At 37.7% G+C, this 25,528-nt stretch overlaps 2 protein-coding genes across 6 annotated transcripts in view; both read left to right on the forward strand.

Moving 5' to 3' along the window:
• CYP4X1 (cytochrome P450 family 4 subfamily X member 1) overlaps nucleotides 1–23,918 on the forward strand; it is a 94,069-nt gene extending 70,151 nt beyond the window's left edge. For 3 of the 5 annotated variants that reach the window (NM_001320289.2, NM_001320290.2, NM_178033.2), the window contains exons 4-12: nucleotides 1,727–1,854; nucleotides 4,292–4,419; nucleotides 4,503–4,657; nucleotides 7,146–7,252; nucleotides 7,828–8,018; nucleotides 14,953–15,086; nucleotides 17,051–17,115; nucleotides 17,908–17,990; nucleotides 18,486–19,237. In NM_001320289.2, the coding sequence (NP_001307218.1) occupies nucleotides 1,727–1,854; nucleotides 4,292–4,419; nucleotides 4,503–4,657; nucleotides 7,146–7,252; nucleotides 7,828–8,018; nucleotides 14,953–15,086; nucleotides 17,051–17,115; nucleotides 17,908–17,990; nucleotides 18,486–18,660 (1,166 nt within the window). In that variant the 3' untranslated portion in view covers nucleotides 18,661–19,237. Of the gene's footprint in view, nucleotides 1–1,726; nucleotides 1,855–4,291; nucleotides 4,420–4,502; nucleotides 4,658–7,145; nucleotides 7,253–7,827; nucleotides 8,019–14,952; nucleotides 15,087–17,050; nucleotides 17,116–17,907; nucleotides 17,991–18,485; nucleotides 19,238–23,889 lie in introns of those variants that run through there. The other 2 variants (XM_017000973.3, XM_047417352.1) reach the window with 2 other exon arrangements.
• The window catches only part of CYP4Z1 (cytochrome P450 family 4 subfamily Z member 1), a 62,794-nt gene continuing 61,276 nt past the window's right edge, over nucleotides 24,011–25,528 (forward strand). Inside the window, exon 1 of the mRNA XM_024453856.2 lies at nucleotides 24,011–24,051. The gene's annotated coding sequence lies outside the window, so the exon portion shown is untranslated. The remainder of the gene's footprint in view (nucleotides 24,052–25,528) is intronic.

The following is a 25,528-nucleotide window of genomic DNA, read 5'->3' on the forward strand; positions in this document are numbered from 1 at the left end:
TCATTCAAAGTCCCCTTTCCATAGTAGAGCATGCCAAAGAAACTGAAATCTGAATTCAAAAGCACAAAGAGTGCAAGGTAGAGCTATACTGAACGTTATCTAGGGGAAAGATTGAAGGGGAGCTCTAAGGTCAACACACCACCACTTCCCAGAAAGCTTCTTCATCCGTTTCTCTCCCACAAAGTCTTATTCTCAAGGCAGCAGATACATGAATCTGTCCCCTCTCTCTTTAAAACTACAGCCTTGGCCAGGCACAGTGACTCATGCATGTAATCCCAGCACTTTGGGAGGCCAAGGTGGGAGGATCACTTGAGGTCAAGATTTCAAGACCAGCTGGGCCAACATGGTGAAATCCCATCTCTACTAAAAATACAAAAATTAGCCAGGCATGGTAGCATGTAGGCCTGTAGTCCCACTACTTGGGAGGCTGAGACATGAGAATCGCTTGAACCTAGGAGGTGGAGGTTGCCGTGAGCTCAGATTGTGCCACTGCACTCCAGACTAGGTGACAGAGCAAAACTCTGTCCGCAGCCCCCAACAACAAAAAAAAAACTACCCAAACTGCAGTCTCACCATCCCTATTCTTGTTTTCTTTATCCTTCTCTCGTTTTCTTGGATGTTTTCCTTTCTTTTTGGAGTTCCTTTATTTCCACATGCGAGTCAGTAAAATTTTGCTCTAGAGTTTGGCAATATTCTGTCAGCAGATAAACTAAGCTCTTTAATTACATAATTGGTATTTATGTTAAACAAGACATGAATGAAAGAAAAGAATATAGGCTTGTATTAGGAACCACTTAAATTTGAATCTTGCCCCCTCCTGCATTGACTAGTTAAATATGATCTTGGGGAAGTCATTTAATCTCTCCCTATCTCAGTTTCCTCATCTTTGACAATAAGGATGAGACTCACATTGCTGGGCTGTTATGAGGATTAAATGAAATACATATTTTTAGCACTACATGTAATGGCCACCATTGTATGAGTGACAGATCATGCATCATGAGCCTGGAATGTTGTAAGCATTCAATGAATGGTATCAATTATGTATTAATAAACTTTAAAGTCCTTTTAAAGCCAAATCCTAATGACCAGTCTGGCAATAGAAGATTGTGAAGCATTAGCCTTGGTAAGTATTTCCACATAGTATCATTCATAGACCTGGGCTCAAGGAGGAAATATCAGGGGACAGAGTGGACACTCTTGTCTCTTTCCTTGTGAATTTATGTTCATCATATAGTTTATGGATTGGTTTGGAGTGGAAAGGAATTCACTTGCTCTGTTACTAGTGTGAGCTAGGGAGTAGGTTGGCTACCTTATGTATTCACTTTCAGTTAACCTCCACAGCAACACAGGGAAAAAGGTATTTAGTATCATAGTTCATTATTGAGAAAAGTAAACCTCAGGAAGATTGAGTCACTTATTCAGTTACTACATAGGTAGTAACTGGTGATTTCAGGATTAGCGTGCTAATCTTATAAGGCTTTGAAATTTATTAGACTTTGAAACTGTTTCTCACAATATTAAATACATCCATCCCAGAGGTAAGCTTCTAAATTCACCTTCATCTATTAAATTGCATTGCACATTAATACGAGTACTACTTTGATACTCCACTGTTGCATGACTGCCTGTGGGTCATGGTTACTCCACGCTGCCTGTGTTCCTCATCTATCCTTCATCTCATCTAATTAAATGGCATAAGGTTTTCTGCCTTTTATTTCTCAAGGAAAAGGACTAGCGGCTCTAGACGGACCCAAGTGGTTCCAGCATCGTCGCCTACTAACTCCTGGATTCCATTTTAACATCCTGAAAGCATACATTGAGGTGATGGCTCATTCTGTGAAAATGATGCTGGTAAGTAAAGGGGGAAAGTGCTCTGTGCATTGCGAAATGCTCCCAGCAATGGACAGTATTAGGTATGTGTTTTGTGGGCCATGAAAATAAAAAATCAGTTTCTAAAAATTTAACCAATGTACACGTACTTATTGAACAATAGGTGTCTGTAAAAAATTTGTTATGTTCTTTGAGTGATAATATTAATAAAAAGATCTGGTCCTCTGTCTTAGATATATTTTGAGATTTTATGGCAGCAAACCAAGTACCAAATGGTGATAGTTAGATAGTAAGTGCTGTAGATGTGTTTCATGGAGGGCGGGTCTGTACAAACCTACCCCAAAGTCTGAGGAAACTGAGAGGCTGAAGAAAAAGGCTGACAGTTTCTTAAAAAGAAACATTCAATAGAGGCTTTCAAACAAAAACCATGGCTGTTTCACACAGTTGTGAGACAAGATGGTGGATCCCTGTGCCATTACCCTCCAGACCCAGGAATTATAGACCATGGGGAGGGGCATACATGCTTCAGAGGAAATTATTAATAGTAAGAACTTGCCCTAAGGGCAAGATTTATGGTAAGTACATGCTCTTACACAAGGAACAATAGATAAACTGGAAATCTCAGAGCATTCCTGGAACTAGAGTTAATTGGAAGTCAAGATGGCAGATTAGCTTCCAGTATGGAGTTGCGTTAACTTCACAAGGTGACAGGTAAGGATGGCAGGAGCAGCTATAACAGCTTCAGATTCAGAGGAAACTCAAATTTGCCATGAAACATAAGCTGGACTTGAATATGTAGGTAATATGGATGAGAGTATTCGAGGCAGAGTGAGGGAGCATGAACAAAGGTTTGGAGATTGGCATGGACTTGCCCAGTGGCTATAAAGGACCAAGCAAAAGAGAATGTGTGTATTAAAGTTGCAGATGTGAATTTCCTCTTGTAGATAGTGGAGGATCATTAGGCCCTGACCTACACCTTTCAAAGGGGCTGAAGAACATTCCTGTGAGTGGTCTCTGATTTATAAACGAGTTCTATTCCAAAACTCTATTTGTACAATGGCTTCAATTTTTAAATCATATTTATTTTGAAATAAGACAAGTAATTCACTAATACACTTTCATCATAGACACCTCAAACACCACAAACAAAGACAAAGTTTTCCTCTCACTTCATGTGCAAACCCATCCCTGTTCCCATACAAACCTCTGTTACCAGCTCAATGATTGGGTTCTCAGCCAAACTCACAGAAGCAGTTTGAACCCGAAGTCAGCCAGGACTGTGGTAAAAACATCAGTGTGAGTTCTCAAGGCAGAGACCCAGAGACTGTGCAGTGCAAGCTAGTGAGAGAGAAGAGCATCCTTTTGTGACTCTAGTGCTGTTCAGGTGCAGCACAGTTTCAGATCCTCCAGTGACTGCACTGGAGTTGCATTAGAGTTTTCTCTCTATTTCTCGGAGCGCTTCCTCCCCTCCTCATTTCTCAGCCACATATTTCTCCGGGATTTTTCTCACACTTCCTTCCTCTGCTGCATCATTCCAGAGTTTTTCAAGCTTGGAAGCCTCCCTCCTGTTCTCATTTCTTCTACATTCACCATTTGTTCTTAGTAAAACTTACGTAATTGAGAAAAAGGCTCTTTGACTAAACAATTTGCACTTAGGAAAAAGTTTTTAAAATTCTCTTTGCCTTTGTGGTTGCCAAGTCTCTGAAATTTTAAAAGTTCAGGTTGACCGATAGGTCTTAAGCTAGGGGCTAGGTGCTTAAGACCTATCGGTCGACCTGAACTTTTAAAATTTCAATTTATTTTAATTTTTACACAAAGTATGCTTATTATACAAATACATTTTCAACCAGGGACCTTGTGACAGTTTAAAAATGTCAGGCAAAGCATTTCAAGCAGTATAAGTAGGTCTCTTTGTGGGGAAGTTAAGCCAGGTCAGGCTTTGCTGGGGGCAGCTCCCTGCAGCAGCTCCTCTCCACACTTGCTCTGTTTCTCACTTTTGAATCCAAACGTTTTTGAAAATGTTCTGAGTTTATTTTAAATGTGGCTATGGTGGTTGAGAGCAGTGGCAGGGTACCTAGCAAGTTTGGAATTGAAGTTGGAGGAAGCCCTGGGGTAAACCCCTTGTAATTATGGGTCTTGTGTCAATGATTGCTTTAATGGAACTCTGGTCTGTTTGAAAGCAGAGTTATGGTAATAATTGAAAAGCCGCAGATCTTTAACTCAGCCATTTACCATATATGCAGTTTTCTCCATGCTCCTTCTCACTCCGCTGGGTGTATTTTTCCCTTCCTCGTGCCCTGTGTAAGCACATGGCTTATTTACTCATGTGATCTTTGGTTCCTGCTGGGTCAGGGTTGTCTCCATTAGATCATAAAAACAGGGCCAGGCAGGAGCCTTCAAATGAAGGCAATTTGGTCATGGTGGTGGTGATGATGTTGGTCTTGACCTCCTGTGCCAGGATAAGTGGGAGAAGATTTGCAGCACTCAGGACACAAGCGTGGAGGTCTATGAGCACATCAACTCGATGTCTCTGGATATAATCATGAAATGCGCTTTCAGCAAGGAGACCAACTGCCAGACAAACAGGTCAGTGGTGGGAGAGCAAAAAAGATATTTCTTCACATTTTCTAAGTTGTTTATTAACACATTATCCCAACTTTCTCTTCTAGCACCCATGATCCTTATGCAAAAGCCATATTTGAACTCAGCAAAATCATATTTCACCGCTTGTACAGTTTGTTGTATCACAGTGACATAATTTTCAAACTCAGCCCTCAGGGCTACCGCTTCCAGAAGTTAAGCCGAGTGTTGAATCAGTACACAGGTATTTGTTGGGTTTGGGTTGCCCACGTCCATACGCTGCCATGATTGTACTGTGTCTGTCTAGAGGGATAAACCTTAATATGACAAGAGAAAGAATCTTTGTTATTAATGGAGCTTTTATATAGACACTGCTCCAAAGAAATTTGACTTGAGTCCTTTATAAGACTTTGCTTCAACCATAGCAGTATTATCAGAATTTTTATATATATATATATACACTATTTTTATTATGGACAATTATTATTAATACAAATATAAGTAGGCACTTAAGAGTTCCAGACATACATGGAATATGGCTTTTTGCACAGCGATTGCAGTAATAATAATGACAAGCTAAAAACATTCATGCAACATAGGAATGGAGAGTGGAACAGAGTAAACATGGACATGCACCCGAAAGAATATTGATTCAAAAACAGTTTTAGCAAGCATAAACACAAAAGTTGAAATAGATTAAGCTTTTTAAGCAATTCAACATTACTTGTCATGAATGCCATAATGGAGAATACTTATCAAGCAGTGAATTAATCCTTCATCAGCTTCACCACTTACTAGCAGTTACTAGTAAGTTACTTACTGCTTTGTTTCAGTGTCATCTATAAAATGGAGATTAAAAAAGAACCTATCTCATACATTTGTTGTTACGATGAGTGGGTTAATATATATAAAGCATTTAGGACAGTGCCTGGCACTGAATAGATGTTAAATGTAAAGTATAGTTATGTCAAATGTCTTTGCTTCCAGGAATTTTGCAAGACACACCAACATATGCACACTTACACATACATATATGCATACATGCACATAGATATTATAAAGAGGACACTCAGAGAAGCAGGTTATAAACAATTTAAGGCATAAATGGGCATTATAAATAGCAGCAGTTCCCAAGTCTTTCTGCATCATTGCACACACAGAAAATGTTAATGTTTTTGTGCTTCATTGGAGTAAACAGGAATGGATTTGGGGGAAGCTATACAGAACTTTGTAAAAAAAAATCTTTACTTTTTAAATATTATACAATTATGATGAAAAAGCAAAATGCAAAGTGTTAGGGAAAATATTAAATGTTAAATTTATTCAAAACTTAAAACCTTTTCAATTTTTTTTTTTTTTTTTTTTTGAGATGGAGTCTCTATCACTCAGGCTGGAGCGCAGTGGTGTGATCTCAGCTCACTACAACCTCCACCTCCCAGGTTCAGGCAATTCTCCTACCTCAGCCTTCTGAGTAGCTGGGATTACAGGCACTGCCACCACACCTGGCTAATTTTTTTAAATTGTTTATTTTTATTTAGTCAAATATATCAATATTTTATTTTATTGCATCTGGATTTTTAGTAATCACAAAAAGCCATTCTCTATTCCAGGGTTTCTCAACCCTCAGCACTAATGGCTTCTTAGATTAGATAAGTCCTTGTTGTCAAGATGTGTGCATTGTAGGATGTTTAGCTACATCCCTGACATCTACCCACTCGATGTAGTAGAGCTCTGATAGTTATAGCAACCATAAATAACTCCAGACATTATTGAATGTTCCCAGGGCCCCCAGTTGAGAACCACTGCCCTGTACCCAGGTTGTAGAGAAAATTATTTATGTTTTCTTGTAGTACTTGTATAATTTCATTATTTTCATATTTAAATCAGAGATCTAAACTCCATTTAGAATTTATTCCTATATATGGTGTGAGGTATTGATCTAATTTTTCCAAATGTTTATCCAGTTGTCCCATCACCATTATTTAAAAGTTTATCTTTTCAAGTGATTTGAGATAACCATCACATTCTAAACGGATACATGTACTGGTATCTGTTTTGGATAAGAGTATATTTGGATGTTCTCGTGTATTCCATTGATCTATCTACCAATGTACCAGAATCACACTGTTTTAATTAAGGAGATTTTGTGGCTTTTTTCAACATTAATAGACCTTATTTTTAGAAAAGTTTTAGGTTTGCAGAAAAATTCAGCAGAAAGTACAGAGAGTTCTCATATTACCCATGTAACAAACCTGTACATGTACCCCTGTATCTAAAATAAAAGTTGAAATTTTTTAAATAGTAAATAAATATTACCTCTGTTCCATATTTTTGTTTTGTTTTTTTTCTCTCAGCTCCTTCAATTATAAATATATTGGCATTTCTTTGCCTGTCTTCTATTTCATTCCATTTTATTTAATAACTTTTCCGTGAAGATAAAATATTAGACTGAGGAAGAAAAGAATAATTGGTCACTTGCATCTAAACTTGAAATCATCTTAATTTTATTGCCCACATACTGATGGAAACTATGTTTTTTATTTGTGTTGTTTATCTTTGGAGCTTTAATCAAAAGTCCCTTTGATGAGAAAATAAACCATCTGTGAAAATTAGATCTATTTAAACGTCTGGAAATCAGGCAAGATTTGAAGCTATTCACTAACCATGGCTTGCTTTATAATTTATTTGACTTTGCCATCACTTTGGTAATTGGAAACTATTTTTCTACCCAGATACAATAATCCAGGAAAGAAAGAAATCCCTCCAGGCTGGGGTAAAGCAGGATAACACTCCGAAGAGGAAGTACCAGGATTTTCTGGATATTGTCCTTTCTGCCAAGGTAAATCTTCTAAATTTCTAAGCCTGCTCAAGTGACCAGTTAATTATGTAAGTAGGTGGGTAAGTGGGAATGGGATGGGGAGACAAGAATAAAACCGATTGACTAAATTTAACTGTACTTTGAATTGATGAGCAGCTTCATGCAATTTGAGACAAAGAGAGAATTCTGCAACTGTGTCGCTAGAGGAGGGTTAGTAAAGACTAAACGAACGATTTGACAAGATTTGAGGATTGTCATATGGATACATGGATTTTAGGGCATCATGAAAAAATGGTCACATGGATAAACGTAAAAATTATGATGATAAGGTCCTGGGAAATCTGGGAGTTTGAAGAGAATTTCTAGGGCCTGTTGATTGAGGGCCCTTTGTGCAAGGCCTGCTTTTCTTATCTAACCTTGGTTCTCCTTTATGCTTTGGGCAGAATATGGTTTATACCACATATTTGTTGAACTGAATTAAAATTTAAACCCCTATTTAAAGCTCTGATTTTTCCCCTCAAATCATTATTGTGGTTGTATCTCCAAACATTTATAAACTGGCATTTTATTTAAAATATTTGTATTGTACTTTCTAGGATGAAAGTGGTAGCAGCTTCTCAGATATTGATGTACACTCTGAAGTGAGCACATTCCTGTTGGCAGGACATGACACCTTGGCAGCAAGCATCTCCTGGATCCTTTACTGCCTGGCTCTGAACCCTGAGCATCAAGAGAGATGCCGGGAGGAGGTCAGGGGCATCCTGGGGGATGGGTCTTCTATCACTTGGTAAGATCTGCACCCCTAAATTTTCCTGCTAGTTTTCCCCCTGAGATTTTGCTTTATTTTTTGCGCTGGTACCTTAGTGACCCTAGTGCCTCAGGATATGTGTAGGTGAAACAGAAGAAGTAGGCTACTTTTCTGTTCTTTCTAAAGAGAGCTCCAAATTATTCTCTTGTCTTTCAGGAAAAAAAAAAAAAGTTTATTTATCCATAAATTGTCTGTCATTGGTTTTCTAATCAATGGTGTGTGAAATGTCTTATTTCTTTATTTCACCTTGGCTCTGATGCATTGGAAATGAGGACTTGATCCCTGGGCTGGCACTTAGAACTTAAACAATAGGGTCCAAGTGGAGCTCCTCTTCTGAGAGAGCTGAATGATTAGCTGCATTATTTAAGGCTCATTTTAGACATCTCCCAGCCGCTTGTCACCAATTTTATTCCTCAGGATTGATTTTAGACTTCAGACATAATATTCGATGATATATACTATAGTTAAGTTTAGCAAATATGGACTGAGGACATTTTAAATACTGAGACTTTTTTTATGACTACAATTTATTGTGGGCCCTGTCTTCGGTGAGCTAATGGTCTAATACAGGAGACAGGAGACAGACCTCCAAATTGCAGTGTAGCATAATGAGGGCAATGATAGAGATATGTGCTGGCTAACACAAAGACATAGAAGACAGGTACCTACCCTGGCATGGGAGCTCAAGGAGACTTCCTTGACATTTACGCTGACTGCAGGATAAGTAGGAGTTAGCCAGGTGGAAACTGTCATCTCTATCTTGCTAGACTTTAAGCATATACTGCTGTTAATAAAGCCCAGGTTATGCTGTTTGCAAAGATAAAATGTGTTCCTGACATAATCTGGTCAAAGGGACAGAAAGACAGAAATGCTAAGGACAATTCAGCAGCATGACCAGATAAAAAACACCATATTTCATATGCAAAAGTCAACTCAATTGAAACATTTGTAAAACCAAATTTGACATTATAAAAGTATATCAGAGATCTCATTTTATAAGGAAATAGAAGCCCTTTCCTACCATAAACTAAAGATTTAATCTATATAGCACAAAATACAATGTTGAGTAATCATTTTTAATTTATTTTTTAACTGACAAAAATTGTGCATATACATGTTATATATATATGTATGTGTGTATATATATATGATGTACAACATGATATTTTGATATATGTATACACTGTGGAATGACTAAATCTATCAATGGACATGTTCATTAACTCATACTTATCATTTTTTTGTGGTAAGGACATTTAAAATCTACCCTCTTAGCAATTTTCAAGTATACAAATTGTTAGTAACTCCAATCACATATTGTACAATGCATCTCCTAAACTTATGCCTCCTGTCTGACTGAAATTTTGTATCCTTTGACTAACATCCCTGTAATCCCCCATTCTCCCACAGCCCCTGGTAACCACTGTTCTACTCTCTGCTTCTTTGAGTTTAATGTTTTAGATTTCCACATGTGAGATCATGTGGAATTTGTCTTTCTGTGCCTGGCTTATTTCACTTAGCATAATGTCATCCAAATTCATCTCTGTTGTCATAAATGACAAGATATTTGTCTTTTCTATGGCTAATTGTTAGTCCATTGTTTATATATATACCATGTTTTCTTTATCCATTTATCCAGTGATGGACACTTAAGTTGATTTCTATATCTGGGCTATTGTGAATAATGCTGCAATGAACATGGGAATGTAGATGTCTCTTCAATGCACTGATTTCATTTCGTTTGGTTGTATATCCAGAAGTGGAATTGCTGCATCATATGGTAGTTCTATTTTTAATTTTTTGAGGAAACTCCGTACAATTTTCCATATGGCTGTACTAATTTACATTCCAACCAAAAGTGTATAAGGGTTCTGTTTTCTCCACATCCTCACCAACATTTGTCTTTTTGGTAATAACCATTCTAATGAGCATGAGGTGATGTCTCATTATGGTTTTAATTTACGTTTCCCTGATGATTAGTGATGTTGAGCATTGTTTTAAATACCTGCTGGCCATTCATGTCTTCTTTGTAGGAATGTTATTTTAGGTTTTTCTCATTTTTAAATCTAGTTATTTGTTTTCTTGCTTTTGAATTGTGTGAGTTCCTCATATATTTTGAATATTAACCCCTTATCAGATGTATCATTTGCAGACATGTTCTCCCATCCTTTAAGTTGTCTCTTCACTATGTTGATTGTTTCCTTTGTTGTGCAGAAGCTTTTTAGTTTGCTGCAAAACCATTTATCTATTTTTTCTTCTGTTGACTATACTTCCAGAGTTGTATCCAAAAAATCATTGCCAAGAATAATATCAAGAAGCTTTTCTCTATGTTTTTTTCTAGTAGTTTTATAGTTTCAGGTCATATGTTTAAATCTTTAATCCATTTTTAGTTGATTTTTGTATATGGAGTGAGATAAAGGTCCACTTTTATTCTTCTACTAGTGCATATCCAGTTTTCTCAACACCATTTATTGAAGATACTGCCCTTTCACCACTGTATGTTACTGGAACCTTTGTAGATCAGTTGACAATAAATGTGTGGGTGTATTTCTGGACTCTTTATCCTGTTTTATTAGTTTATATGTCTCTTTTTTTAGAAGCTCTATGCTGTTTTGGTGACTAGAGCTCTGTAGTCAATTTCAGATCAGGTAGTATGATGCCTCCAGCTTTGCTCTTTTTGCTCAAAATTGCTTTGGCTATTTGAGTTTTTTTATTCCATACGAATTTTAGGGCTTTTTTTTTTTTTCGATTACTGTGAATAATGCCATTGGAATTTTGATGGAGATTGCATTGAATCTTTGGGTAGTATGGATATTTTAACAGTATTAATGCTTCCAATTAATGAACACAGGGTATTTTGCAATTTGTGTTTTCTTCAATTTCTTTCACCAGTGTTTTTTTCTTAATTTAATTGTTTTATTTCCATAGGGTTTGGGTAACAGGTGGTGTTTGGTTATGAGTAAGTTCTTTAGTGGTGATTTGTGAGATTTTGATGCACCCATCACCTAAGCAGTATACACTGTACCCAATTTGTAGTCTTGTATCCCTCACCTCCCTCCCACCATTTCCCCCAAGTCCCCAAAGTCCATTGTATCATTCTTATGCCTTTGCATCCTCATAGCTTAGCTCCCACTTATGAGTGAGAACATATAATGTTTGGTTCTCCATTTCTGAGTTACTTCATTTAGAATATTGGTCTCCAATTCCATCCAGATTGCTGCGAATGCCTTTATTTTGTTCCTTTTCATGGCTGAGTAGTATTCCATAGTATATACATCCCACAATTTCTTTATCCATTCTTGATTGATGGGCATTTGGACTGGTTCCATGTCTTTACAATTGCGAATTGTGCTGCTACAAACATGCAGGTGCAAGTGTCTTTTTCATATAATGACTTCTCTTCCTCTGGGTAGATACCCTGTAGTGGGATTGCTGGATCAAATGGTAGTTCTACTTTTAGTTCTTTAAGGAATCTCCACACTGTTTTCCATAGTGGTTGTACTAGTTTACATTCCCACCAACAGTGTAGAAGTGTTCCCTGTTCACTGTATCCACACCATCATCTATTATTATTTGATTTTTTGATTATGGCCATTCTTGCAGGAGTAAGGTGGTATTGCACTGTGGTTTTGATTTGCATTTCCCTGATCATTAGTGATGTTGAGCATTTTTTCATATATTTGTTGGCCATTTGTACATCTTCTTTTGAGAATTGTCTATTCATGTCCTTTGTCCATTTTTTGATGGGATTATTTGTTTTTTTCTTGCTAATTTGAGTTCCCTGTAGATTCTGGATATTAGACCTTTGTTGGATGTGTAGGTTGTGAAGATTTTCTCCCACTCTTTGGGTTGTCTGTTTACTCTGCTGATTATTTCTTTTGCTGTGCAGAAACTTTTTAGTTTAATTAAGTCCCACCTATTTATCTTTTCGTTGTTGTTGTTTTTTGGGGTTGTTTTGTTTTGGCTTGGTTTTGCATCTGCTTTTGGGTTCTTGGTCATGAAGTCTTTGCCTAAGCCAATATCTAGAAGGGTTTTTCTGATGTTCTAGAATTTTTATGGTTCAGGTCTTAGATTTAAGTCCTTGATCCATCTTGAGTTGATTTTTGTATAAGGTGAGAGATGAGGATCCAGTTTCATGCTTCTACATGTGGCTTGCCAATTATCCCAGTACAATTTGTTGAATAGGGTTAATATTTAAAGCTTTATATATTTAGGTGTTCCTATTTTGGGTACATATTTATTTACAACTATCATATCCTCCTGATGGATTGACCCCTTTCTCATTATATAATGGTCTTCTTGTCTCTTTTTACAGTTTTTGTCTTAAAGCCTAATTTGTCTGATAAAAGTTCAGCTACCTTTGCTCTCTTTTGGTTTCTATTTGCATGGAATATTTTTTTCCAACCCTTCGCATTCACTCTATGTGTGTTCTTAAAGATGAAATGAGATGCTGTAGGGGCATATGCTTGGGTCTTGTTTTATTCATTCATTCAGCCACCCTTTTGATTAGAGAATTTAATTCATTTGTATTCAAGGTAATTATTGACAGACAAGGACTTACTACTGCCATTTTGTTAATTGTTTTCTTGATGTTTTATAGATCTTTTGTTCCTTTCATCCTCTCTTACTCTTTTCCTTTGTGATTAGGTGCTTTTCTCTAGTGGTGTACTTTGATTTTTACTTTTTATCTTTTGTTGCTCTACTATAGGTTTTTGCTTTGTGGTTACCATGAGGGTTACATAAAGCATAGTTATAAAAGGCTATTTTAAACTGATAACAGCTTAACTTTCAACACTTAAAAAAACTATACACTTTTACTCTACCAACTGCCCTCCATTTTATGTCTTTGATGTCATAATTTACCTAGTTTTGGAGATGTGTCCCCTTATTGTGTATCCCTTAACAAATTATTGTAGCAACAGTCATTTTTAATAGTTTTGGCTTTTAACTTTATACTAGAGATAGAATTAATTAACATACCACCACTACATTATTAGGGTATTCTAAATTGACTATGTATTTACCTTTATCAGTGAGATTTTTGTTTTCAATTTTCATGTTGTTAATTAGTATTCTTTCATTTCAACTTGGAGAATTCACATTAGCATTTTTTGTAAGATGGGTCTAGTAGTGGTGAACACCCTCAACTTTTGTTTATCTGGAGATGTCTTTACCTCTGCTTCATTTTGAAATATAACTTTTGTTCCATGATTGAAATGGACAAAATTGTTTTTTTAATTATGCAAAGTGCCAGGGTAAGCAGAATTACTCTTTTTTTTTTTTTCTGAGACCGAGTTTCACTCTTGTTGCCCAGGCTGGAGTGCAGTGGCGCAATCTCTCAGCTTACCGCAACCTCTGCCTCCCAGGTTCAAGCGATTCTTCTGCCTCAGCCTTCCTGAGTAGCTGGGATTACAGGCATGCACCACCATGCTCGGCTAATTTTGCATTTTTAGTAGAGACGGGGTTTCTCCATGTTGGTCAGGCTGGTCTTGAACACCCGACCTCAGATGATCCGCCCACCTAGGCCTCCCAAAGTGCTGGGATTGCAGGTGTGAGCCACTGCGCCTGGCCAGAATTACTCTTATTTATCCTGAGCTTGAGGAAGAAAGAATTCAAAATTAAAATTTCACATTACCTAATGGCCAAAGCCTGCATTCAAAATAAGTAATCAGAAAAACATATAAAAACACAATAAGATAAACAGACTAAATATATGCAGTCATTTTATGGAACCAATCTGACTAGATTGGATGCAGACTAGGTAGGATGCAAATTTAAAAAAAACTTTATTCTTCTTCCACTTATAAACTTTAAACCTGCTTTGTGGAGCAAGTTCTTTTTATCTCTGGGGAAAGATCCTGAGTAAGTCTCATAGAGTTCTCATTCATTTAAATCACAAGAACAATCTTAGGTCAGTAATTAAACTATCTGGCCCAGTGTAATACTGAAACTTTCAAATACTTATCCACTTGAGCTCTTCTTTCCATCCCAGCTTGGTACTTCTTTGGTCCTAGAAGCCAGCAGTGGTTTATCATCGACTTATTCTTACTGACTAGCTCCCCAATACCCAGTAGCTGCTGTTTCTGGGCCCTCCAGGAATGGTTTTAGGAGGAAAGGGGATAAGGAGTAAAGGGCTGGTACTATTGTGATCATGCCAAAGGGCTTGGTGGATATTCCATGCTTCCCTTTCTCTCAAGAGGAAACTCCCTTTCTTGGAGACTCTCTCACTAGAACTTTCCAGAGGTGATTCAGGGGACAAGAGAATAATTGTCCTTAGGCAGACTCTTTTTCAAGCTGGTCCCAGAGCTTTCCCTCTTGCCAGTTAATTGGTTTAAGGACACAGTTGCACATCCTTGCCTTGCCTCTGCTGCTGTCCTCTGCCTTTCTGTCTGTTCTGAGTTATAGCCTTTCACATCAGTCCTGTACTCCCCAAACTCCAAGGAGCACAAGTCAGATCATCTAAGTGATCCTCTTGAAGCCTCTTGTTTAAGATGGGGGAAGCACCCTTCCTTTTCCATGGCACTCTGGCATTCCAACAACACTTTAAATAATTTTTTCTCTCAAAATTCTTAAGCCTCTCCTCTTTAATCCTTCGCCATTTTTATGTATTATTACTTTATATGATGAGCTAAGAGTTACAAAACTGGTTTTTAGAAATCTCCTTAGCAAATGTTTTACTGCTAGTTTAGCAGCTCACTTTATAATAAGGATATATGATATATTTCTTTGGTTCCTCTGCCTCTGGGACCTCAGCTCATCCTGAGGCAGAGAGTCCCATTTTAACATTCTGTTACATAAACCAGTGGCAAAATGGCTTTAACCTGAGGGTAATAATTACCAGGAACAAACAGAAAACAGAAAAAAAGTAAACTGGTTATGATATCTGAGTCCCTTCCCTCCCTCATCCTCACAGGGACCAGCTGGGTGAGATGTCGTACACCACAATGTGCATCAAGGAGACGTGCCGATTGATTCCTGCAGTCCCGTCCATTTCCAGAGATCTCAGCAAGCCACTTACCTTCCCAGATGGATGCACATTGCCTGCAGGTCTTTACATTCTTTTCCTAAGCAGTTCTTAGAGGCTATGGGATCCTGGAGACCACAGTGACAAAGATTAGTGAGTCTCTTAGCACTTGGAGAAGTCAAAAGATAATGCTAACATGTGACTTAGGTTTTATCACCTATGAGGAGCTCAGAGGATAATGCTTTGGTCAGACATGAATTTCAATGACTTTCCCAAAGGCACATAGCCAGTTGCAGCAAAGCTAAGCCCAGAATCCATGTCTCTGGAATCCCAGCCCAGGGTCTCTTCCATTGTGGGACATCATTTCTAAGATAATCTTTGTTTGGCTGAGTTTGAGACCGAGCTGAAACTTCATGGAAAATAGCACCAGCATCTTTATCTGAAAGACCAAGGGGGATCTTTGGCCTCATCATCATAATATCACCCTTATAAATATACAACATTTAATAGTTAATATAGAGCCTTCAGACCCATTATCTCATTTTTCCCCTTGGAATCCAATGTTAACAGACGCTTATACAATGATTTACAGTTCACTGAACACTTTTAAGTACTTTCAATGTGGCCCAAAATCCAGAGGCAGCCCCAATGTGTAGATGACATTAACTGATGTGAGCAGAGCTAGAACTTGTGCGGAGACCCTGAGTCTGGAGCCTAGAGTTCTTCGGAACAACACAGGTTTCTGAGCAGGGCTTATAGGAAGCAGAGGGGTCATGTGAGACATATTATCTGATTCAATGTTCTATTAATTCATGTCTTAGGAAGCAAGCCAACAGGATTGCTTCTGGCAAACACCTACAGCCTGTTACTGTAACTTTGCTGACAGACCCAGAATTAATTTCTGGAAGCTAGAATTATTTCTGGAAACCAAATAACCCTCACATTCTCTCTCCTTTGTTTTGTACTCTGTTTCTCCCCAAACCACATGGATATTTGCCAAAATTCTCCACTTTCCATATGTGAATAGCACCAATGGAAATTTGTCATGGGATCTGCATGACAGAATCACAGTTCTGTGTGTGTGTGTGTGCGTTTTCCTCTCAAGACAGAGTCTTGCTATGTAGCCCAGGCTGGAGTACAGTGGCGTAATCTCGGCTCACTGCAACCTCTGCCTCCCAGGTTTAAGCAGTTCTCCTGCCTCAGCCTCCCGAGTAGCTGGGATTACAGGTGCACACCACGCCTGGCAAATTTTTGTATTTTTATTAGAGATGGGGTTTCACCATGTTGGCCAGGCTAGTCTCAAGCTCCTGATCTCGAGACCAGCCCTCCTCAGCCTCCCAAAGCGCTGGGACTACAGCCATGAGCCACTGCACCCAGCCAGTTCTGTGCTTTTATACCTAAATTGTCTCCAGGAGTGCTTAATAGTCCATTAATAGGTATTTAGGCCAGGCACAGTGGCTGACGCATATAATCCCAATATTTTGTGACACCAAGGTGGGAAGACTGCTTGAAGTTAGGAGTCTGAGACTAGCCTGGGCAACATAGGGAGACCCTGTCTTTACAAAAAAAAAAAAAGAGAGAGATAGCCAGGCATGGTGTTGCATGCTTGTATTCCTGCCTACTTGGGGGACTGAGGCAGGAGGATCACTTGAGCTCAGAAGTTCAAGGTTACCGTGAGCAATGTTCACGCCACTGCTCTCCAGCCTGATTGACAGGCCAGACCCTGACTCTAAACAAAAACAAAAAACAAATATTTAAGTAATTTCCAAACATAGCAGAAAATATAAGCATGGTTTATCACTTTGATATGACACCAACAGCTACTTAAGATAGAATCATGAATTCAGTAAATTGTTGTGTGGAAAGCTAAGGTGCCAACCCAAGCCGCATCTTCTTAGGTGCTCCTCACTGGTGTCATCAGCTACAGCAGGCAGAGCATTGCCAGGAGCTAGCTCTTCCCTTCAAGAACAAAAGTCTTGTTTAAGAGCACAGTAGCCCACAACTTGCTCTTTCTCCTGCAGTCTCTTTTATTTCCCTCCTTTCTTAGGGATCACCGTGGTTCTTAGTATTTGGGGTCTTCACCACAACCCTGCTGTCTGGAAAAACCCAAAGGTATGATTCTCTCTTGTACATAAATACTTCCAAGAACTAATGCTGTGCAAGTCACTTTTTGGTAGCTAAGCACAGAAGTGGCTATATAATTAAGGGAAATGACACAAATTAAACAAAAATAAACATAAAAGCCAAAAGAAATGTAAAACTATTCTATGTTCTTGAAACACTCTTGACGTGTATCAGTGATTTCTTTCATGTAAGCCACTAAGGTTTAAGATCTATTACTTGTAACAGGAAGCTGGAGTATATGTCTCTGTAATAATTGGCCACATCATCATTTTGACTTGATTTCTAAGTGGATGCACATCCATTTCTAAGTGGATGTATCTCCATAGTGAAAATAATACCACTTGCCATAGTATTTTTGTTTGCCTGGGTATCAGACAAATCAGCTGTGAAGCTGCAAGGTCTGCAGGTCTGAAGGTACACTGCCCAGTGTAGTAGCCACGGGCCACATACGGCTACTGAGCACATGACATGTGGCCAGTTGGAATTGAGTTGTGCTGTAAGTTTAAAATACGTGCTGGATTTTGAAGACATAGTACCCTAAAAAAATGTGAAACATTTCCTTTTAGTAATTATTTATATTGATTACAGGTTGGAATGGTAATTTTTGGTTAAATAAACTCTATTAAGATTAACTTCACCTTTTAAAAATGTGACCACCAGAACATTTTAAATTACACATGTAGATCACATTATATTTCTATTGATCGGTGCTAGGTGGTAGGTGAAGAAATGTGTTCATGTTGTTTGGGGGATGGTGTTGGGGTTGTCCTCTCATTTCAGGTCTTTGACCCCTTGAGGTTCTCTCAGGAGAATTCTGATCAGAGACACCCCTATGCCTACTTACCATTCTCAGCTGGATCAAGGTGAGAACAATTTGAAGTTGCTGAAAGTACCCAAAGATGTTTACTTGAGAGTAGTTTATTCCTTTCAGCTCCTCAGCTCTATACATTCTTCCAGGGAACCGTAGATCTTGGTGCCTATTTGAGCCCCAAAGGATCAGTTAGTTTTACAAAGGACAATCGTATTCTCTGTCACATCCTTTTTGGCCATGCCTCAAAAGCAGTCCCACAATGTAAGCTACTGCTCATAGGCTCAATGCAGTCCACCTTCAAAGCAAGAGAAATAATTTCATGAGTAACTCCAACTGCCGCCTTGTTATAGGGAAGGCATCATGTTGGAGCCTCCCAGCTCAAATTCTCACAGTGAACAATTTAAGTCTAAAGTTCAAAAGTTTCAATGGCATTTGGTGGAAAAATATCACTTTACTGTGTACTTCAGACTTATTGTACTAGTATTTTACTATAGTCAGAAGAAACATCATTTTTTCAAGTATCACTTTCTTTCCCTCTTGTCTTCAGGAACTGCATTGGGCAGGAGTTTGCCATGATTGAGTTAAAGGTAACCATTGCCTTGATTCTGCTCCACTTCAGAGTGACTCCAGACCCCACCAGGCCTCTTACTTTCCCCAACCATTTTATCCTCAAGCCCAAGAATGGGATGTATTTGCACCTGAAGAAACTCTCTGAATGTTAGATCTCAGGGTACAATGATTAAACGTACTTTGTTTTTCGAAGTTAAATTTACAGCTAATGATCCAAGCAGATAGAAAGGGATCAATGTATGGTGGGAGGATTGGAGGTTGGTGGGATAGGGGTCTCTGTGAAGAGATCCAAAATCATTTCTAGGTACACAGTGTGTCAGCTAGATCTGTTTCTATATAACTTTGGGAGATTTTCAGATCTTTTCTGTTAAACTTTCACTACTATTAATGCTGTATACACCAATAGACTTTCATATATTTTCTGTTGTTTTTAAAATAGTTTTCAGAATTATGCAAGTAATAAGTGCATGTATGCTCACTGTCAAAAATTCCCAACACTAGAAAATCATGTAGAATAAAAATTTTAAATCTCACTTCACTTAGCCGACATTCCATGCCCTGACCAATCCTACTGCTTTTCCTAAAAACAGAATAATTTGGTGTGCATTCTTTCAGACTTTTTCCTATACATTTTATATGTAGAAATGTAGCAATGTATTTGTATAGATGTGATCATTCCTATATTGTTATTGATTTTTTTCACTTAATAAAAATTCACCTTATTCCTTATCATTGCTTTATGGTATTCTGTAATATGAATGTACTATAATTTATTTAACTATTTTCCTTATTGGGCATTTAAGTTATTTCTAGTTTTAAAAACATGCTTGTCAATGGCAACAAAAGCCAAAATTGACAAATGGGATCTAATTAAACTAAAGAGCTTCTGCACAGCAAAACAAACTACCATCACACTGAATGGGCAGCCTACAGAATGGGAGAAAATTTTTGCAACCTACTCATCTGACAAAGGCCTAATATCCAGAATCTACAATGAACTCAAACAAATGTACAAGAAAAAAACAACCCCATCAAAAAGTGGGTGAAGGATATGAACAGACACTTCTCAAAAGAAGACATTTACGCAGCCAAAAGACACATGAAAAAATGCCTATCGTCACTGGCCATCAGAGAAATGCAAATCAAAACCACAATGAGATACCATCTCACACCAGTTAGAATGGCAATCATTAAAAAGTCAGGAAACAACAGGTGCTGGAGAGGATGTGGAGAAATAGGAAGACTTTTACACTGTTGGTGGCAGGAGAATCACTTGAACCCGGGAGGGGGAGGTTGCAGTGAGCCGAGGTGGCGCCACTGCACTCCAGCCTGGGCGACAGAGCGAGACTCCATCTCAAAAAAAAAAAAAAGGACACCAAACTTCTCAATCTTAATGTTGTCATCTATGTGGTATCTTCCATAATCTCTCTCAGACAGAGTCATCTTTTGCTGATATGATCTTACAGTATTTTTTGTTTATACCATTATAATCTCATTAATTGCAGCAACACAAATGACAAAAGACAACTGATTTCTCCCCTTGGATGACCTAATTTGCTTTCACTCTTCCATCATCACTTATAACATGATGATTCTCAAATTCATCTACCTAAAATCTATATATAAAAAAATCCCTCCCTTGAATTCCAGATCCTTGGAGACAAACACCCACGTCTAAAACCAAATTTGTTTAACACTGGACCAGTCGTCCTGTGTGACTTTCCATTTTGTCACTATTTTGTCAGCTGGTATACCAATATCCACCCAGTTAAACAATATTTCCTTGTTTTTTTCTGGTACAAACCCAAATAAATTACAAACATCAATAAAAGTAAAATTCTAAAATAACTCACTTTCTCTATATATCTCCTTCTTGCTGGAAAAATGGGTTAGGTTAGTTCTTTAAAAGCATGCATGATAAATTGTACTGAATACAATATTCAGGTCTGGACATACTAGGTATAATTTTCTGTGTCTCTGGGGTCTTACCTATTTGGGGTCAAAATAAACAAGTTTATTAAGCTTATTAATATTCAATTTCATTATCTTCTTTAACAATTATGTTCCCTGGTAGTTTCATTGCCAATAATTTATTTGTCAGGTTGCCAGGTGCTTCTAAACTTCTGTGTATTTTTTCATATCCAATTTTACTTTAAATATTTTTAGAAAAGAGGTCTGTTAAATTTCCTAATAATTATTATATTATTGTTTTTTCACTGACATTTTGTGAATTGAAAACCCTTAAAAATATGAAATCATTTTTTCGAAATATGTGCCACAGACAATTTTGTTAAATAAGAAGACAGAAACAGGGCATTATCAAGAGATAAATATTCAATATACCTTATATTTCTGTCACACATTTTTATACCAACTGTGCCAAAAATTGTATATCATATAAATGATAACAAGTTCACAAAGGCATTCCTTTATCCCTTAACTCTCAAATTAGAAACTTTCATAGGTAGGAAGTAGGGGAAGCATATATTCCCTTTGAAAGGTGCAAGAAAATGTCATTGGCATTCACCATGGTACTCTTCAAGCTTAAAAAAAATGGACTGCAAAACATTTACAAACATAGCATATTTATTGGGTACCTTTATGTTTACATAAATATTGAAGATATCTCACATACCTCTTTCAATCAGATTATCTCACTGACATTTATTGACCACTTTCTATGGGGAAAACAAATTGTGTTTGCCCTAGAAATCTTCTTTGGAACTCAGTTCTTGAATAAAAATGTTCTCCTAAATAAATAAACAAACAAATAAATAAATAAAAAATAAAATAAAAAAATGCCTGTTGGCCATTTATGTTTATCTTTGTTTTGTTTTCTGTGATTTGTCTGTACACTGTTTATGCTTGTTTTTCTATGGAATTCTCTATTTCTTTTTTTTATTTTATTATTACACTTTAAGTTTTAGGGTACATGTGCACAATGTGCAGGTTTGTTACATATGTATACATGTGCCATGTTGGTGTGCTGCACCCATTAACTCATCATTTAGCATTAGGTATATCTCCTAATGCTATCCCTCCCCCATCCCCCACCCCACAACAGTCCCCAGTGTGTGATGTTCCCCTTCCTGTGTCCACGTGTTCTCATTGTTCAATTCCCACCTATGAGTGAGAACATGCGGTGTTTGGTTTTTTGTCCTTGTGATAGTTTGCTGAGAATGATGGTTTCCAGCTTCATCCATGTCCCTACAAAGGACATGAACTCATCCTTTTTTATGGCTGCATAGTATTCCATGGTGTATATGTGCCACATTTTCTTAATCCAGTCTATCATTGTTGGACATTTGGATTGGTTCCAAGTCTTTGCTATTGTGAATAGTGCCATAATAAACATACGTGTGCATGTGTCTTTATAGCAGCATGATTTATAATCCTTTGGGTATATACCCAGTAATGGGATGGCTGTGTCAAATGGTATTTCTAGTTCTAGATCCCTGAGGAATCGCCACACTGACTTCCACAATGGTTGAACTAGTTTACCCTCCCACCAACAGTGTAAAAGTGTTCTTATTTCTCCACATCCTCTCCAGCACCTGTTGTTTCCTGACTTTTTAATGATCGCCATTCTAACTGGTATGAGATAGTATCTCATTGTGGTTTTGATTTGCATTTCTCTGATGGCCAGTGATGATGAGCATTTTTTCATGTGTCTTTTGGCTGCATAAATGTCCTCTTTTGAGAAGTCTCTGCTCATATCCTTCGCCCACTTTTTGATGGGGTTGTTTGTTTTTTTCTTGTAAATTTGTTTGAGTTCATTGTAGATTCTGGATATTAGGCCTTTGTCAGATGAGTAGGTTGCAAAAATTTTCTCCCATTCTGTAGGTTGCCCATTCAGTGTGATGGTAGTTTGTTTTGCTGTGCAGAAGCTCTTTCGTTTAATTAGATCCCATTTGTCAATTTTGGCTTTTGTTGCCATTGCTTTTGGTTTTTTAGACATGAAGTCCTTGCCCATGCTTATGTCCTGAATGGCATTGCCTAGGTTTTCTTCTAGGGTTTTTATGGTTTTAGGTCTAACATGTAAGTCTTTAATCCATCTTGAATTAATTTTTGTATAAGGTGTAAGGAAGGGATCCAGTTTCAGCTTTCTACATATGGCTAGCCAGTTTTCCCAGCACCGTTTATTAAATAGGGAATTGTTTCCCCATTTCTTGTTTTTGTCAGGTTTGTCAAAGATCAGATAGTTGTAGATATGCAGCATTATTTCTGAGGGCTCTGTTCTGTTCCATTGATCTATATCTCTGTTTTGGTACCAGTACCATGCTGTTTTGGTTACTGTAGCCTTGTAGTATAGTCTGAAGTCAGGTAGCATGATGCCTCCAGCTTTGTTCTTTTGGCTTAGGATTGACTTGGCAATGAGGGCTCTTTTTTGGTTCCATATGAACTTTAAAGTAGTTTTTTCCAATTCTGTGAAGAAAGTCATTGGTAGCTTGATGGGGATGGCATTGAATCTATAAATTACCTTGGGCAGTATGGCCATTTTCATGATATTGATTCTTCCTACCCATGAGCATGGAATGTTCTTCCATTTGTTTGTATCCTCTTTTATTTCATTGAGCAGCGGTTTGTAGTTCTCCTTGAAGAGGTCCTTCACATCCCTTGTAAGTTGGATTCCTAGGTATTTTATTCTCTTTGAAGCAATTGTGAATGGGAATTCACTCATGATTTGGCTCTCTGTTTGTCTGTTATTGGTGTATAAGAATGCTTGTGATTTTTGCACATTGATTTTGTATCCTGAGACTTTGCTGAAGTTGTTTATCAGCTTAAGGAGATTTTGGGCTGAGACGATGGGGTTTTCTCAATATACAGTCATGTCATCTGCAAACAGGGACAATTTGACTTCCTCTTTTCCTAATTGAATGCCCTTTATTTCCTTCTCCTGCCGGATTGCCCTGGCCAGAACTTCCAACACTATGTTGAATAGGAGTGGTGAGAGAGGGCATCCCTGTCTTGTGCCAGTTTTCAAAGGGAATGCTTCCAGTTTTTGTCCATTCTGTAGGATATTGGCTGTGGGTTTGTCATAGATAGCTCTTACTATTTTGAGATACATCCCATCAATACCTAATTTATTTAGAGTTTTTAGCATGAAGGTTGTTGAATTTTGTCAAAGGCCTTTTCTGCATCTGTTGACATAATCATGTGGTTTTTGTCTTTGGTTCTGTTTATATGCTGGATTATGTTTATTGATTTTCATATGTTGAACCAGCCTTTCATCCCAGTGATGAAGCCCACTTGATCATGGTGGATAAGCTTTTTGATATGTTGCTGGATTCGGCTTGCCAGTATTTTATTGAGAATTTTTGCATTGATGATCATTAAGGATATTGGTTTAAAATTCTCTTTTTTTGTTGTGTCTCTGCCAGGCTTTGATATCAGGATGATGCTGGCCTCATAAAATGAGTTAGGGAGGATTCCCTCTTTTTCTGTCGATTGGAATGATTTCAGAAGGAATGGTACCAGCTCCTCCTTATACCTCTGCTAGAATTCGGCTGTGAATCCATCTGGTCCTGGACTTTTTTTGGTTGGTAAGCTATTAATTATTGCCTCAATTTCAGAGCCTGTTACTGGTCTATTCAGAGATTCAACTTCTTCCTGGTTTAGTCTTGGGAGGGTGTATGTGTCGAGGAATTTATCCATTTCTTCTAGATTTTCTAGTTTATTTGTGTAGAGGTGTTTATAGTATTTTCTGATGGTAGTTTCTATTTCTGTGGGATCGGTGGTGATATCCCCTTTATCATTTTTTATTGCGTCTATTTGATTCTTCTCTCTTTTCTTCTTTATTAGTCTTGCTAGCGGTCTATCAATTTTGTTGATCTTTTCAGAAAGCCAGCTCCTGGATTCATTGATTTTTTGAAGGGTTTTTTATGTCTCTATTTCCTTCAGTTCTGCTCTGATCTTAGTTGTTTCTTGCCTTCTGCTAGCTTTTGAATGTGTTTGCTCTTGCTTCTCTAGTTCTTTTAATTGTGATGTTAGGGTGTCAATTTTATATCTTTCCTGCTTTCTCTTGTGGGCATTTATTGCTATAAATTTCCCTCTACACACTGCTTTGAATGTGTCCCATACATTCTGGTATGTTGTGTCTTTGTTCTCGTTGGTTTCAAAAAACATCTTTATTTCTGCCTTCATTTCTTTATGTACCCAGTAGTCATTCAGGAGCAGATTGTTCAGTTTCCATGTAGTTGAGTGGTTTTGAGTGAGTTTCTTGATCCTGAGTTCTAGTTTGATTGCAGTGTGGTCTGAGAGACAGTTTGTTATAATTTCTGTTCTTTTACATTTGCTGAGGAGTGCTTTACTTCCAACTATGTGGTCAATTTTGGAACAGGTGTGGTGTGGTGCTGAAAAGAATGTATATTCTGTTGATTTGGGGTGGAGAGTTCTGTAGATGTCTATTAGGTCCGCTTGGTGCAGAGCTGAGTTCAATTCCTGGATATCCTTGTTAACTTTCTGTCTCATTGATCTGTCTAATGTTGACAGTGGGGTGTTAAATTCTCCCATTATTATTGTGTGGGAGTCTAAGTCTCTTCGTAGGTCACTAAGGACTTGCTTTATGAATCTGGGTGCTCCTGTATTGGGTGCATGTATATTTCAGATAGTTAGCTCTTCTTGTTGAATTGATCCCTTTACCATTATGTAATGGCCTTCTTTGTCTCTTTTGATTTTTGTTGGTTTAAAGTCTGTTTTATCAGAGACTAGGATTGCAACTCCTGCCTTTTTTTTGTTTTCCATTTGCTTGGTAGATCTTCCTCCATCCCTTTATTTTGAGCCTATGTGTGTCTCTGCACATGAGATGGGACTCCTGAATACAGCACACTGATGTCTTGACTCTTTATCCAATTTGCCAGTCTGTGTCTTTTAATTGGAGCATTTAGCCCATTTACATTTAAGGTTAATATTGTTATGTGTGAATTTGATCCTGTCATTATGATGTTAGCTGATTATTTTGCTCATTAGTTGATGCAGTTTCTTCCTAGCTTCGATGGTCTTTACAATTTGGCATGTTTT

Source organism: Homo sapiens, chromosome 1 (genome assembly GCF_000001405.40).
Source record: "Homo sapiens chromosome 1, GRCh38.p14 Primary Assembly".
In the NCBI taxonomy this organism is placed as follows: Eukaryota; Metazoa; Chordata; class Mammalia; order Primates; family Hominidae; genus Homo; species Homo sapiens.